Source organism: Homo sapiens, chromosome 13 (genome assembly GCF_000001405.40).
Source record: "Homo sapiens chromosome 13, GRCh38.p14 Primary Assembly".
NCBI classification, from domain to species: Eukaryota; Metazoa; Chordata; class Mammalia; order Primates; family Hominidae; genus Homo; species Homo sapiens.
In genome coordinates, this window is record NC_000013.11 from 51,318,027 (window position 1) to 51,334,404 (window position 16,378).

Consider the following 16,378-nt stretch of genomic DNA (forward strand, 5'->3'; position numbering starts at 1 on the left):
ATTTAAAAAAAAAAAAAAGAAAATCAACAAGTGCAGGCCAAGTAGGCAACAGCAGTGAGTGGGAGATGGTCACAGGACCTTGTTCTAGTGTTTGCCCAGTATTTACTGAGGACTTAGTATGTGCTGGAAACCTAGCTCTGTGTTAGAAACACAAGAAAGACCTGGTTACAAGCTGCTCCCAGTCTGGTGGAGGCAGGCAGGTAAACAAGAAATAAGAGACCAGTACTGAGTAGGACTTGGGGTTTGTATAATCCTGACTCATCAGGCCATTCACTGAAGAGGCTAAAATGAGCCCATGAGGCCGGGGATCATTTTGACACACATGCTCAGAAGGGTTTATTGAGGTTCCTACCTCACTTTGCAAATTGGTGTTTTGTCTATAACGGCACCTTAGGGGTCTATCTGGGCAAGGGTAAGACCTGAATTCAGGTGGGGATACATTGTAGTTTTCTGTGGTCCATCTGGATTGAGGTAGGGTCCCAAGCAGACCCAAGAGATTTCGGGAGTCATAGTCTAGCTCCTTGACAAGGGCTAGTGTACTAGTTGGTGTCCTCCAAACAGAACCAATAGGAGATTATCTATCTATCTATCATCTATCTATCTATCTATCTATCTATCTATCTATCTATCTATCTATCTATCTGTACACACACACACACACACACACATACCTATTGAGAGAGTGAGATTAAGAGATTTATTATAAGCTACTGGCTCACACAATTATGGAGGCTAAGTCACAAGATCTGCTGTCTGCAAGCTGGAGACCCAGGAAAGCCAGCGGTGTCATTTGAATGAAGGTCTGAGAGTGGGAGAGCTGATGGTATAGATTTTGGTCAAAATCTGAAGACCTGAGAAACAGGAGCACCGTGGGCTGGAGATCAATGTCCTAGCCCAAGCAGTCAGATAAAGAGCAACTTCAACCTTCCTCCATCTTTTTATGATTCAGGCTAACAATGCATTGGATGATACACGCCCACGTTGGGGAGGGCCATCTGCTTTATACAGTTCAACAGTTCCAGTGCTAATCCCTCCTGGAGATGCCCTCACAGACACACCCAGAAAGAATGTTGAACCAGGTATCTGGACATCTCATACCCCAGGCAAGTTGACACACAAAATTAACTATCACAGCTAGGTAAACTGTCATCACTTAGACCAAGCACAGCCAGAATCCAGGGATAGTCACTGGTCTCAGAATGGGGCCTGTACCTGAGATGGAAGCATCAGAAACCCTAGGAACAAGGAGCGTGTAACAGGAAGAGGGGAGGCATTAAAGACAGTTGTAGTTACTGCTTAGTGGAGAATTTATTCTATGCCAAGTGCTTTCTAGGAGTCATCTCCCCTGAGCGTCACAGCAACCTTAAGGGGTAAGTCTTTATTACCCCTGTTTTACAGAGGAATCAGAGGCTTGGAGAACTTAGGAAGCAACCCAAGATCTCATAGCTAGAGAGATCAGCAACCCAGCCCAGGTGTGACTCTGAAGTTCACATCTTTAACCTCTCCACCCCACTGCCTACAGGCGAGGCCCCTGGCATTCAGCAAACAAGGGCTCAGGCCAGCAACGCTCTCAGGATAACAATAGCAAGACTGACTCCATTTCTTACCCACGGTGGGAGATAGATTCTTCCTGTATTTACTGACCTGGTCAGCACTGGCTTCTGAGCCAGGAAGGCAGAGTTCATAGGTGCCTTGCTTCAGTTACTTCTGTTGAGGAGGGTAGGGGGAGACAGTTGTTAAGACCTAACAGCAATAACAGGTAAGAAGTGAAAAATTCAGGGCCTACATTTCCTCCATTCAAATCTATAAAATAAACATTTGAATGGCAAACTGTGTTTTCTACTTCCTACCTGGATGCTCTGATAAACAAACTCTAAATTATCTTCTTTTTCTCATGTTTAGGAGTTTTCCGGTGCTTCACAATCATTCTGATCATTCTTAGTGATATGGTGAACTCTGAGAAGAAATGGCTTATGTTTCTTCCTGCATGTCATCCATCCATGTAGATTTCATGAGGAGTTTTAGCTGGAAGAAGCAAGCCAGAGAATGCATCTTGTAGTACCAGTCACTAGAGATGTTTATTTCATAAAGAGAAGTGTTGTGATGTTCACACCTATGAAACCAGTTGAAGTGGGCTTCCCGCCAGAGGACGGCCGACAACGACCAACACAGTAGATGTGAGGATGTCCCATATCCAGAAACCAGATCTAGCCCCTATCTTTGGTACCAGAGGGAGGGACCCAGGCATTTTTAGGGCCTGTCCAAGCCCGAGCAAGAAGGAAATCAAGGCTTAGGCCATGCTGGGGTTTCAGGCACAGGGACAGGGCATGGGTATAGATAGAGCCAGCCCATAGCGGCACTGGAGTCAATCAATGGCCAGTGCAGGGCAGCGTGGAAGGACTCAACACCCAATTCCAGAGATAAGACAGTAGATCTGCAGCAGAGTCTGGATGGCATGGAGTAAGCCAGGTGTGCCTGGAACAATGGCCGGAGGAGACAGGTGCATGGGCCACACTTTTTACAGTAACACGCTCACTGCCGGCATGAATCTCCAGACTGGAGGAGAGAGGCCTGTGAGGAATGCCTCCTTGTTTACACACATCCCAAAGCAGCTCCCTGGCTCTGCCAACAGGGCTGGACATCTCCAAACAGGGTGATAAATCCTTGAATTCATTTCCTAGGGCTGCCATAGCATAGTACCACACACTGGGTGACTTAGAACAACAGAAAGCTACTGTCTCACAGTTCTGGAGGCCAAAAGTCCAAGATCAAGGTGTGGATGGGGTTCATCCTCCTGAGGGCTGTAAAGGAGGGTCTGTTCCTTGCCTCTCTCCTAACTGCAGCTGCTTTGCAGCAATCCTTGGTGTTCCTTGGCTGGTAGAGACATTGCCCCACCTCTGCCTTCATCTTCTCATGGCCTTCCCCCATGTGCTGTCCCTGAGTTTCCCCTTCTTATGAGGACACCAACCATAGGGGATTAGGGTCAGCCCAGTGACCTCATCTTAACTTGACCACATCTGCGAAGACCCTGTTTCCAAATAAGAGCACATACGGAGGTGCGAGGGGTTAGGACCTCAACATGTCTTTTCGCAGGGGGCGATACAGTTTAACCCATAACACACTTCTTTACCATGCTTTGAGCAATCAGTGTTCCTCAAACCTAGCTCCCATTAGGTATTAAAAAATACCCATGTCTCTACCCCATCCCCAGAGATTCTGACTCAGTTGAGCTGGGATGGGGCCCAGGTATCAGTAGTTTCTAAAAGTTCCTCCAGGGGACCCAAAAGTGTGGCAGGTTTGTGCACCTCCATCCTGGGGGTGAAACAAGGTGAGCAGCCAGAGACGGGAGGACAGAGTCAACAGCGGGAGAACCAGTCTCCTCTTCCCTGCTGGCAGGAGCTAGCAGCCTTGGAGAGAGCACTTGGATTAAAATCATCAGCTCTTTGGGGCAATATTAAATGATGGCTCTCAGTGTCTTGGGATGAGGGAGTCCAGGGCTTTTGGGCTTTTGAATCACTAAATAAAAAAGGCATAACTAATCTTCCTCTCCATGAAGATCCATTTGCCTGGGCCAACCCTGAGGAGAGTCCTGGTGTTTTTGGAACATACAATTGCTTACCAAGCCAAAAAGCCAAGGGTTTTAAGTCAAGCTGAATATTACAGAGAAGATTGAGGCTGGCTAACCTTGCTGCAAGGTAAAACAGGAGATCACAGCCACATGTCATCCAAGCAAGAGAAAATGCAATGAAAATCTACACTCATGTGGCAAACTCTTTCAACAGTCAGAGGCCTGATTGTGTGCCAGTCAAAATAATTTTGCTCTATTTTTAAACACTGTTGACATGAAAACTGAATTAATAGGGGCTCAAATTTGAAGGGAGAAAAAGGTACCAAAATCCATAATAAACTGACAAGCTAATTAATGTATCCGAACAGAGGAAGGAAACCATAGAAACAGATTGGAAATCACGTGGATTTCATTCATATGAGGGAGAAAGCAATTGAAATATTCTTGTGCAAATTAATTAAATTTATAATGCACCCAGAATGCAAGTTGTTCTAGCTCCCTGCTGAGTCCTGTGGGAGAGGCTTAACATTGCCTCCTGACCAATAAGAATGTCTAAAATGCATTCTGACAATGTTTTAGAAGAAAAGACACACATGCAATTGGATCACTGTCATTGAGCCTCCTTGGGCCTGAGCTTACAAAGCCCTCAAATTCAGGTCCCAGTGGAGTCTAGTCACACTGAATGAGGGGTGGGCACTGTGGTGAGGATCAGGCCCGCCCTGGACTTTTCTTTCTCCTTATGCCCTCCATTCCAAGCTCCAGCCTGGGCAGACTCATATTATACCCTGGGAATAACCAGGCCCCAGGGATGCTAAAGCCAGGATGTCTAGCCCATGTCAGAGCAGGTGGGTGGCAGAAGACTTTAGCTCCCCTTCCATTATACCCCAGAGGCAGCTGGCAGCCTGGCCCATGCTGAAAGCCACCTCCATGTCCAAGCCGAGGTGGGCAGGTGGTTTTAGAAGAACCACAAATTTTATAAGACCGGGAATGTAGATGTAATTTGGCTAAATCAACTTTTAGACAAGATTGTTTCAGAAGTACCTGAAATTAGCTTTAAAAGATTTATTATTTTTGTTTTACAAATTCACCTTGGCTGGTGAGTATTAGTTAATATTATTTTGGTTACAAATAACAAAAACCCACTTAATGAGGGAAAAAAGAATTTTTTGGAAGGAAAAGCTCAGAGAATTCGAAGGAGAGTTGAATAACTGGGGTTCAGAAAGGAATCTGTGACAGCTTGGGGCCCAAAGTAGGAGACTCAGGTGCTTTGCCCACTCCCAGCCTTTGGGTTTCTTACTTCTAATCTAAGAGAGAAAAACCTATAAGGCAGTGGGCCAGGTGCTCTGTCTTGGCCAACTATCTAGGCCAGAGTTGCTGTGTAACAAGGTACAAACCTGGCTACCAGGGCCTGCCCCTGTGGATCTGGGCAGGCAATGGAAGGGCCTTTGCAGCTATCTCAACTGCTGTCTACCAGCCAGTAGGGGCTGGGAAAAAGCTGAGCATGCCATATGCATTTATGCCCTTGGTCGTGCCTGAGTTCCTCTCTGCCTGGTGTGTGCCCTCGCCTCCCCACCCCCTGCCAATCCTTCGCAGCAACTCCTGGGTGAACCCTGGTCCTCTCCCTCCAAGTCACAACCGAGCAATTCTCCTTGAGGCTCCCACAGGCCTTGCTTCTGCCCCTCCTGAGCACTAAGGACAGCCCTGTCTCAGCCTTCTACATGCTCTCCTGCAGGCTGTCCTATCCCTTTAGATTTATCCCCAATCTGGTCTCCACCTGCTCCATCCCACATGCAGCTCTGACGAGGCCACTCTACAGATCAGACACTTGAGGGATGGGATGCACTTTCCCTCTAAGGAAATAAGAACCCTCTCCAACCAAGCCCCTGCCTTGTTTTACATCCCCTCCCCTCCTGAAAACCTTTTCTGCCCAGTACTCGCTCTGCTGACATTAGGCACCCCTGCTCTAGGGCCCCAGGCATGGCTCCAACAGCACACTCACCACATGATAGAAATTCAGTCTCCCTCCCACTCAGACTCGATGCTACATATGATTGCTTGATTTCTAAAAATCACTTGCACCCAGCCTAAGGCCTTCGCCCAAAATCTATGCTGAAAAAGTAATAATTTTGGATGAATGGATGAATGAATTAATATATGCATGAGTGAATTAATATTTTTTGTTATAGTTAATTGATTTCAGCCTCTCTTCTCCACAAAGATGCTAAGTTTTCCAGATCAGACATGGTGTCCGAGTCAAATTCATTTTCAGCTTATACATACTAAGGAGTCCAGCAGTGCTTGTTCCTGTCCCCTTTCCACACAACTCCCTTTGTTGTGCCTTCAGCCCTGGAGCACTCCATAAATGTTAGATGAAAGGATACTCTTCTGAGATTCTGTGACTGGTGCAGATGTGGCTTGTGTCCTTGAGGACTAGGTCTGGGCTGGGAGCCCTTGCCTAATGCCAGATAGAAACAGCCTACGTGCTAGTATTAAAACTCCACAGTCATTCAGCTGGAGATTTTCCCTTAAGTCACAGTCATAGGTTCAGGAAATCCTTGATCACAACTTACCCAGGGAGGTGTTCAAATGTTCCCTCCCTTACCCCATATGGAGCAAGAGCTGAGACTCAGGAGTCAGGGAACCAGGCCAGTCTCACCCTCTGCAGGACTTTGTCCACACCTCCAGTAACTGTTCTCACTGCACCTGTCCTTTCCCTGCCATAACAGTAATTACATTGCTCTCCACAGTATGATTCGTGTGCTGACTATACACCCACAGGACGGTGACTCCCTGTGCAGACAGGTACTATGCGTATCCTCTTCCCTGCCAACTCTCAGCACCTAGCACCATGCCTGGCACATGGAGATGCTCAGTAAATATTTATTTAATAAACAAAAAAGAAGGAAGGAAAGACAGAAAGGTACAATGTGGGCAGAGGATGGACAGACCAATGGAGAGAGAGAGGGGCAGAGAGAAGGCAGGCAAGAAGGAAATTTTTCTTACCTCAGTTTCCCCATCTGTGAAAATGAGCCAACAATTCCTGTCTCCCACGGTTGCTGGGATGATTAAATACATTGACTATTTTCTCCTTCTTCTGTCTTCCTGTAACCTTTGTACACACTATAATTACAAAACTTAATACAGATATTTGTTGGCATGTCTGTCTCCCTGTTAAACTGTGAGCTTCTCTAGAGCAGGGACTGTTTCTTCTTTCACCCGGGTAAGCCCTGCATCAGCTGCTGGCACCCGGCACCAGCAAGCTCTCAGCACCACCTGTGTGCTTTCTGCCCTCTCGGGAGTACTGAGGCCTGCCATGCACTCGCCACAGGGGACCTGGCTGAGGCAGCCAACCCAGATGTCCACCCAGCGCCCACCCTCCCACCGTGCCCCCCACCAGCCCAGCTCCGTAGCCTCAGCTGCCTCCCTTAATGAGCAGAGATGAACTGAATACCCTGCCCAGGCCTGCAGAGGGGCACGCAATGGGAGAAGCAAAATGTGAGACCAGTGGGGAATCAGAACAATGTTGCTGTTGTGGTAAGAACAAAGTGCCAGGACTCATGGGCCCACCTGCTATTTTGCATAAATTTGCATCCCAGACTCAGTGAGTTCTTCTCAAGCTTATTGTGTGGTCAAAGCTCCCCTCACTGGTGGGCGTGGCCAGCCTCACTCTCACCCCAGGATTTCAGACCAGAGGGCCCTGCCGCTACCTCCAGGGCTTGGCTCACTCAGCCCTGACGCCCAGTGCTGTGGCCGTGGCCGTCCCTAGTGGGTGGAGGACCTCCTAGAACCGGCAGTGGGTTATGTTTCTCCAGGAGACTTACCTTCCTATTGATGGCAGGTTTTGCCCTTGTTCAAACAAGTTTGCATTCCCAGCTTTTACAATAAGTAACAGCAGGCTTCAGGGGCATGGAGAAGGATCTGGAGGTTTCAGAAACTGAGATTCACCACCTTTACCATCCTTGCTATGATGGTTAATTTTATGTGCCAACTTTTCTGGACCATAAGGTGCCCAGATAGTTGGTCAGACATTTATTCTAAGTGTGTCTGTGAAGATGTTTCTGGATGAGATGAACATTTGAATTGGTTGATTATGGAAAGCAGATTGCCCTCCTGCATGTGGGTGGCCCTCCTCTCTTTTGGAAATCCTGAATAGAATAAAAGGTTGAGTAGCAGGGAACTTCATCCTGAGTGCCTCTAGCTGGGACACTGACACATTGGTGGTTTTCTGCCTTTGGACTCAAACTGAAACGTTGGCTCTTCTGGGTCTCAAGACTGACAGCCTTCAGACAAGAACTGCACCATTCACTCTCCTTGGTCTCCAGCTGGCTGACTGCAGGTCTTGGGACTTCTCAGCCTACATAAACATATGAGCCAATTCCTTCTCTCTCTCTCTCTCTGTCTCTCTCTCTCTAGCTCTCACTCTGTCTTCTGTGCTCTGTGTGTGTGTGTGCGCGCGCGCACGTGGGTTGGTTCTGTTTCTATGGAGAGCCATCTGTAATACACTTGCTGGGGAGAACATAGTGTGGTCATGGACAACAGGCTCAGGCCTGCCCTCCTGCCTTTATGCACCCTCCTGAGGGTACCACCACCCCACTGCCACCAGAGTCAGTGCTAGAGCACAGACACATGCATACCTTTGCACACACATACTTGTCCCCAGCCCTTCCCCCTCAACTCAAATTTCTTTCTTCCTCTGAAAGAGATACCTTCCCAACAATACCCAACAATATCACTGGATGAGGGGAATTTTAAGGACTTTTGGTTTTTCTCCTTTATATTGTTCTATTTTGTTAAAATATTTTTCTTTTTTTATGATGTTTGTTTGTTTGTTTGTTTCTTTGAGACAGAATCTCACTCTGTCACCCAGGCTGGAGTGCAGTGATGCAATTTCGACTCACGGCAACCTCTGCCTCCTGGGTTCAAGCAATTCTTGTGCCTCAGGCTCACGAGTATCTGGGACTACAGGCATGTGACACTATGCCCAGCTAATGTTTGTATTTTTGGTAGAGACAGGGGTTTCTCCATATTGGCCAGGCTGGTCTCAAACTCCTGGCCTCAAGTGATTCCTCCACCTCGGCCTCCCAAAGTGTTGGGATTACAGGCATGAGCCACTGTGCCCAGCCAAAAATATTTTTCAAATCACCATAAAGAACATTTACCTGACAGGATCATTATAAAGATTAAATGAGATAATGCTTGTAAAAGGCTTTGCACAGCATTTCTCAATAAAAATAGGCTCTTATTTTAGAAATCTAATTAAAAATAATAATACAGTTATGCACTGCACAATAACATTTCAGTCAATGACAGACCACATACACGACAGTGGTCCCATGAGATTATAATGGAGTTGAAACATTCCCAGCACCTAGTGATGTCATAGCCATCATAAAGTCATAGCATAACTCATTACTCACATGTTTGTAGTAACGCTGGTGTAAGCCAATCTGCTGTGCTGCCAGTCATATAAAAGTATAGCACATGCAATTATGAACAGTACATAATACTTGATAATAAATTACTCTGTTTCTGGTTTATGTATTTACTATACTAACTTTTAATCCTTATTTTAGAGTGTACTCCTTATACTCATGAAAAAAAAATGTTAGCCGGGCATAGTGGCCCATGCCTATAGTCCCAGCTAGTCATGAGGCAGGAAGATCACTTGAGCCCAGGAAATGGAGGCCAGTTTGGGCAATCTGGACAAGACGCTGTCTCTACAAAAAGAAAAAGTTTTTAAAACTTTTTTAAAGACTGTAAAACAGCCTTTGTTAGGTCCTTGAGGAGGTATCCAGAGGAAGGAAGTGTTGTGATAGGAGGTGACAGCTCCATGCATGTTATGGCCCCTGAAGACCTTCCAGTGGGACCAGAAGTGGAGGTGGAAGACAGTGATATTGATTATCCTGATCTTGTGTTGGCCGAGGCTAATTGCAGGTGTTTATATCTTAGTTTTTAACAAAAAAATTTAAAGAGTAAAAAAAAAATTTTAAATAGAAAAAAGCGTATAGAATAAGGACATAAAGAAAGAAAATATGTTTGCACAGCTCTACAATGTATTTGTGTTTTAAACTAAGTGTTATTGCAAAAGAGTCAAAAGTAAAACAAAATTTAAGTTTATATAGTCAAAAAATTACAGGAAGCTAAGGTTAATTTATTATTGAAGATAGAAAAATATTTTCTAAATGTAGTGTAGCCTATGGGTACAGTGTTTATAAAGTCTACAGTAGTGTACAGTAATGTCTTAGGCCATCACATTCATTCACCACTCACTCACTGACTCACCCAGAGTAACTTCCAGCCCTGCAAGCTCCATGCATGGTAAGTGCCCTATACAGGTGCGCCATTTTAAAGTCTTTTATACTGTATTTTTACTATGCCTTTTCTATGTTTAGATTTGTTGAGGTACACAACTACTTCCCGTTAGGTTACAATTGTGTACAGCATTCGGTATAGTAGCATGCTATTCAGGTTTGTAGCCTAGGAGCAATAGGCTATACCATCTAGCCTGGGTGTAGAGTAGGCTCTAACATCTAGGTTTGTGTAAGTGCACTTTGTGAAGTTTGCACAATGATGAAATTGCCTAACAGTGCATTTCTCAGAACCTATCCTTGTTGTTAAAGTGATGCATGATAGTATATGTTTAAAGAACTTCAGGATTTACAAAGTACTTTCATATTCATTATTTGACTTAAACACAAACTTGAGGCACACTTATTATTTCTGGTTTACAGATTAGGAAACTGAGGCCCAAAGACATTAAAATGACTGGGCCCAGGCAATTCAGCACGGAGCAATGTGGCAGGGTCGGGATTAAGTTGTGGGACATGATGGGGATCCTGCTCACTGACTTGACTTGCGGGGCCCCAGAGCAAACCCCCTGCTCACAGGGCCTTAGGTCCTGCCGCCTTAGTGGCACTGCAGCTCACACCTGCGTCTCTCTGAAAAAGAAGCCCAGCATTCTCTGGCATTTATCCATGACCCTGGGCTCCCAGTTAACTCCTGAGTTTAGAAACCAGGCATTAGTCCTCTAATCCCCACAAGCCCCTCCCATTGTGTGGAATCTGGATAAACCCCAGGCCTGAGAGATGCAGGAGGGAGGCACCTTCCCCAGTGTGATTGGCAGGACGCAGAGCCCCAAGGCTAGCGTGGGACAGGAGGCTGCCTCTGGCAGGCAGGCAGGCAAGCATCTCACAGCTGCCCCACCTGGCTGCTGGGCCAGTCGCCTTGAGCTTGGGATAAGGAACCACGAGTCCCCACTTTACCATGAATCCACCCAGGGCAAAGCTTCCTAAGTCTTTATTTTTTCTTATTTATATAATGGTTCAATATCTGCTGTTTTCTTATCTCATAGGGAAAAAGGTTTTGAGTAAAAACTAAGATCTATGTGATACTGTAAACTCCTTGGCATGGAGAGTGGGATGACAAAGTGTCTGTTAAAAAGGCTACTGTCCCTTTCTTTGATTGATTCATTCATTTGTTCAATAACTATGTATTAACCACCTTCCATATGCCAGACTCTATTCTCAGAATTGGGAACAGAGCTATGAACAAGAAAAATCTCCCCCTATCCTCATGGAGTAGAATGTCCGGAAAATTCAAACCCTAAGCCACCAACAGTCAGTACAGTCAGAGCTCCATTATTATTCTGAGTATTTTCTATAACATTTTTTCAATGGAAAGTTCCCAAATGAAAGCAGCTCTGCCCTGCTTCTAGGATGACAAGCCCAGTGTATCGGAAAATACAAACTAATCTCAATACACATTGAAACAAACAATAGGTACCAAGGGTAATTCACTGTCTAGTCTGTGATATGCAAAGTGAATTTTTGTAAAGGATATCTCATCCTGCATTTTAACAGGCATAAATAAAAACCTGTTTGCTGTGCTTAAAACTGGTAAACAAGCTTTTCCACCAAAAACATTCCTTTGCTTATAAACATGTTTTTCTCAAAAGTAGTTAAAATTATAAACATGTTTACCCCATTCCCAATAAACATAAGGCTACCTCCTTCAAAAGTAATAAACAGCTCTACCCCAAAGTCATAAACATATTTTAGACTGTACAGAAAATTTATGGCATAAATTGGTAAGTTGTGATATAATTTGGAAACCACATATACAGCCAATGATGTAATGGCTTAGATAATTTTGGAGTACAACCAATATGGTAGATCCAACCACAAACCATTAAACTATGAGGCAAGTCCAGAGTTCCCAGGCTCTGCAGTTAACACAGAGACCCGCTGCCAGACTGTGTGAGTGTTGATGACCCCCTACATCTTCCCGGTGTGTCCTGAGCTGGCTGCAGTTCACCACATGCCACCCATAAGGGACTCTGCCCTGGGGAAGATGGAGACCAAGATCTCTGCCAGTGGAGACCACTGGATGCATCAACCGAGAGTGAGTGGCAGCCAAAGCCAAGGGGGAGATGGGCCAGTCCCTGACAGGTGGCACGTGCCTTCCCCACTCGGCCCCCTCTTGCTGGCTCACAGGTGCCCCTTAGCTTGTTGAAGGAAATAAATAACTGAACCCTGTTTAAACTAGGTGGTGTTTTTGTGTCTGATGGTTCCCACTCATTGACATTCTTTTTAAAATCCTTTTTATTTTTTATTTTTAGAGATGGGGTCTTGTTCTGTGGCAGACTGGAGTGCAGTGGCACAATCATAGCCCACTGCAGTAGCGAGCTCCTGGGCTCAGGTGATCCTCCCGCCTAGGCCTCCTGAGTAGTTGTAACTACAGGTGTGCATACCACTCCTTGGCATGCTAAATCCAGGCTCTAGCTTTGACTAAAGGTGTAATTCTTCAGAATAAAAAACCCATTTATACTACTATGTGCATTGCCAATCCCAACAAAGAGGTTCCGGGAAGTCCACTGTTCTTGAAATTTTCCATTTTTTATAAACAATCAGCTTTGGGCTCTGTTGGAGTGCAGCTGCTCCAAGGTGTGATGCAGTGGGCCCTGAAGGTGGGACATTTTGCCCAAGGTAAGAACCCTGGGAGAGCCCCTGACTTGTCCACCAAGACCTCCATCCCTCATACCCTTGTCTAAGAGGTGAGCAGGACCAACAGTCTTCATCACCCGAAAGGGCAATCCACCAGCCTCCCAGGGAGGCTTCACTGCCTCACTGCCTTCCGTCAGCAACCTAATTCTGACACCTTGCTTCCCAGTTGGCTTGCTGGGTTCAGAGCACTGGGCACCAAGTCTGTGTCTTGGTGTCATTGCTATTCACACAGACATTGTGTCCAGGTTCCTGCATCCAGAAACATTCCAGAACAGTGCCAGCCTTTGTGGTTTCTCTGTGCTGCCTCTCCCACAGCACTCACTTCCCTCCAACCAAACCACATCACCGTCACTCTTGTGACAAAAATAGAAATAACGAAGTTTAGAAATCTTGATCTCACAGCCTCCCACCTCCTCCCACCTCTGATCTCCTCTGGGGCATGTTCGCAGAATGTGTGCAATTCTGCCTCTGCTTTTTTAATTATCTTCCTTACCTTGTCCCTTAGGCCCTGCTGCACTGTTCCAGGAACAGCCTGGAAAATGGAGGTGCAGCTTCCCTGGTACCCCAAGGGCAGAGCACATTACACATCACAGTGCCAGGGGCCCACTTTCATTTGCAAAATGCTTTAAACCCAACTGTTGCTCTCTCCACCTCCTCCTTATCTTCTTATTTCCCTCCTTTGCTAACTAAAAAAAAAAAAAAAAAAAAAAAAGTGGTCATCTTGCTTTATCTTCAGCTTGAACTAGAATGGATTGTGTTGATGTATCAACATGGCATCCTGTTCCCAGGCTCTTTCCTGAAGTCTGCAGGGTCTGCCAGAGACCACGTGCCCCTTTCCCCCAGCCCTAATCTCTCCCTCAAGCAGAATTTGTTTAAAGCCACTATTGAAAGACTCACGGAATTCCCCCAGCCTTGCTGTCCTCACTCCCACTCATGAACTCCTGTGCAGCTTCATAGTGGCTCGTGATTTGTTTTCTGAGATTGTGGCCTCAATATGACCAGGAACAAATGTTTCTGATGTGTTTGACTCAGGCCATAGTGTGTGGGAAATGAAAAGGATATACAGGAATAACAGCCAATGCAGTGGCTGACCACAGCCCATGGCATCACCTGGGAGCTCCCTCTCTGGGCTTCAGAGCTTCAGGGCCACCTGGGCATGCTTGTGACCCGTCAGTTTCTCCACTGTGTAATAACTCCACCAGGCGGCTTGCCCACATGCTGCCCAGCGTGTCATCCAGTAGCCAGTGGAGTCCTGTACTTTGTGGGTTCACAGGAGGTCATGGAGTTTCTCAGAGCTGAGCCAAAGGGTCCTTATGAAACAGTTCAGGCTACTTCAGGGATGGCAAATGTGTTTCTTCTCACACACCAACTTTGACTTATTGGAAGTGGCTCCAGGTGCTACTGAGAAGAACTGCAGGTCATGGCCAAGCTCACTGGGAAGGACTGTTGTAACAAATCAGGGATGCCCTCACTCCTTGGAGAAGAAGGAAAGACACATGCCCTGTGCCTACAGCCCCTGGGATGGTTTTTCCTACTAACTATGCTTGCCAATTCCTGAAGAGCGAGGCTGGCTTAGCGAGGACCAGCCTCACCTGTCTGTCTTGTTATCCAGCCTAGGTGCTAGGGAGAAAAATAGGGGATAACCCCAACTCTCCTTTTTTTTTCTTCACTTTTAAAATCTAACTCTATAAAAGGGGTCAAAGTGCAAATTATACAGAAATATATGAAAAAAATGGGATGGAAAGCAAGACTTAAAGAAACAGAATATACAAACACAGTTTGATGCATTTTTTCCATTTTCAACCTTAGTTACTTTCTGCTGAATTTTCTCTGTTTTTAGGATTACTTTCCAAGCTAAATAAAATTGCTTTGAACTCATACCAAGGCCTTATTTGGAGCCAGAAAGTGTTTGAGGCAGAAGTGCTATTCACACTGTTTCACACAAATTCATCAATACCATGATGAGCCCTGAGCATGTGTCCCCAGCATTTGTGATGTCCCCAAAACACTTCTGCTATAGTCCTCCAAATTCATATGTTGAAACTTTACAGGAGGTGATTAAGAATCGAGGGCAGAACCCTCATGAATGGGATTAGTGCCCTTATGAAAGGGCTCAAAGGAACTAGCTAGCCTTTTGTATCTCTTCGGCTATGTGGAAACACCTGGACACAATCATCTATGAGGAATGGGCCCTCACCAGACACCAAATTGGCCAATATCTTGATCTTGGTCTTGATCTTAGACTTCCCAGCCTCCAGAACTGTGAGCAATACATTCATTTCTTTATAAATTACCCAGTTAGTTTGTTATAGCAGCAGGAGCAAAGACACCTTCCATCTCTTTGGCTTATTACTTAGTCTCTTACTTCTGGTTCATAGTACATGGCTTCTCACACCACATCTAAACTTTAAACTTCTTACAACCACAAATCCACTCTTTCTAATCAGAACCAAAATATGAGAATTTAAAAAATCACCATGCATGCATCTAACATCTGCCCAACACTTTCTCTGATTTAGTGACATCCACCCTTCAAGACTGTCAACAAACCACCTGTTGATCTTATCACCTAAATTTCTTTGACACTTGGCAGACATTTACCACTTTACATTCTATAAATGGTAATAGAAAAGAGTAACTCATTAAGAGCTGAAAAGACTAGCCACAACTGGGGAAAAAAATTTTAAAAACCACCTACCTGAAAAAGGATTTACATCCAAAATATACAAAGAATGCCTAAAACTCAACAATAAGAAAACAACTCAATTAAAAACTGGACAAAAGATGTGAACAAACATCTAACCAAAGAAGATATACAGATGGTAAATATGCATATGCAAAGATGTTGCCCCTCATGTCATCTGGGAATTGCAAGTTGAAACAACAATGAGACACCACTACACACATATTAAAATGGCTAAAATACAAAATATTGACAACACCAAATGGTAGCAAGGATGGGGAACAACAGAAACTCCCATTCATTGCTGGTGGGAATGCAAAAAGGCACAGCCACTTTGGAAGACAGAGGGGCCATTTATTACAAAGCTAAACATAGTCTTACCACAAAGTCAAGCAATTGACTCCTAAGTATTTATCCAATTGAATTGAAAACACAAAAATCTGCACACAAAGTTTATAGTAGTTTTCTTCATGATTGCCAAAACTTGGAAGCAACCAAAATGTCATTCAATAGGTGAATGAATAAATGAACTATAGTACATTTACATAATAGACTATTACTCAGTGATAAAAAGAAATGAGGTATCAAGCCTCAAAAACACATGGAAGAAGCTTAAATGCATTTTGCTAAGTGAAAGAGGCCAGTCTGAAAAGGCAACATACTGTATGATTCCAACTAAATGACATTCTGGAACAGGCAAAACTATAGAGACAGTAAAAAGGTCAGTGGTTCCCAGGGTTGAGGGAAAGGGAGGAGGGAAGAATTAATGTATGGAGCACAGAGCAATTTTAGGACAATGAAACCATTCTGCATGTTACTATCATGGTGGACACATGACATTATGTATTTGACAAAAGTCATAGGACTGCACAACAGAGTAAGCCCTAAAGTAAACTGTTGACTCTACTTGACAATGTATCAATTATAACAAATATACCAAAATGCAATATGTTAATAATTGGGGAAACTGGGGACAGGGAAGAGGAGGTTTATGGGAACTCCATACTTTCTGCTCAATTTTTCTGGAAATCTAAAACTGCTCTTAAAACAGTCTATTAATAATAAAAATGGCAATAAGAGCACAAAGCATGGAAATTTAGTCAAGAATACACACAAGATCTTAAA

The 16,378-nt window shown here is 44.8% G+C and overlaps 2 annotated features.

Moving 5' to 3' along the window:
- Positions 10,593–11,092: an enhancer, noted in NCBI's record as "H3K4me1 hESC enhancer chr13:51902755-51903254 (GRCh37/hg19 assembly coordinates)". NCBI's record gives its function as "activates a minimal SCP1, AML or CMV promoter by ChIP-STARR-seq in naive H9 embryonic stem cells {active_cell/tissue: H9 hESC(naive)}" and the evidence as "EXISTENCE:reporter gene assay evidence [ECO:0000049][PMID:30033119]".
- Positions 13,278–13,407: an enhancer, noted in NCBI's record as "active region_7772". NCBI's record gives its function as "activates an Ori minimal core promoter by ATAC-STARR-seq in GM12878 lymphoblastoid cells {active_cell/tissue: GM12878}" and the evidence as "EXISTENCE:reporter gene assay evidence [ECO:0000049][PMID:35858748]".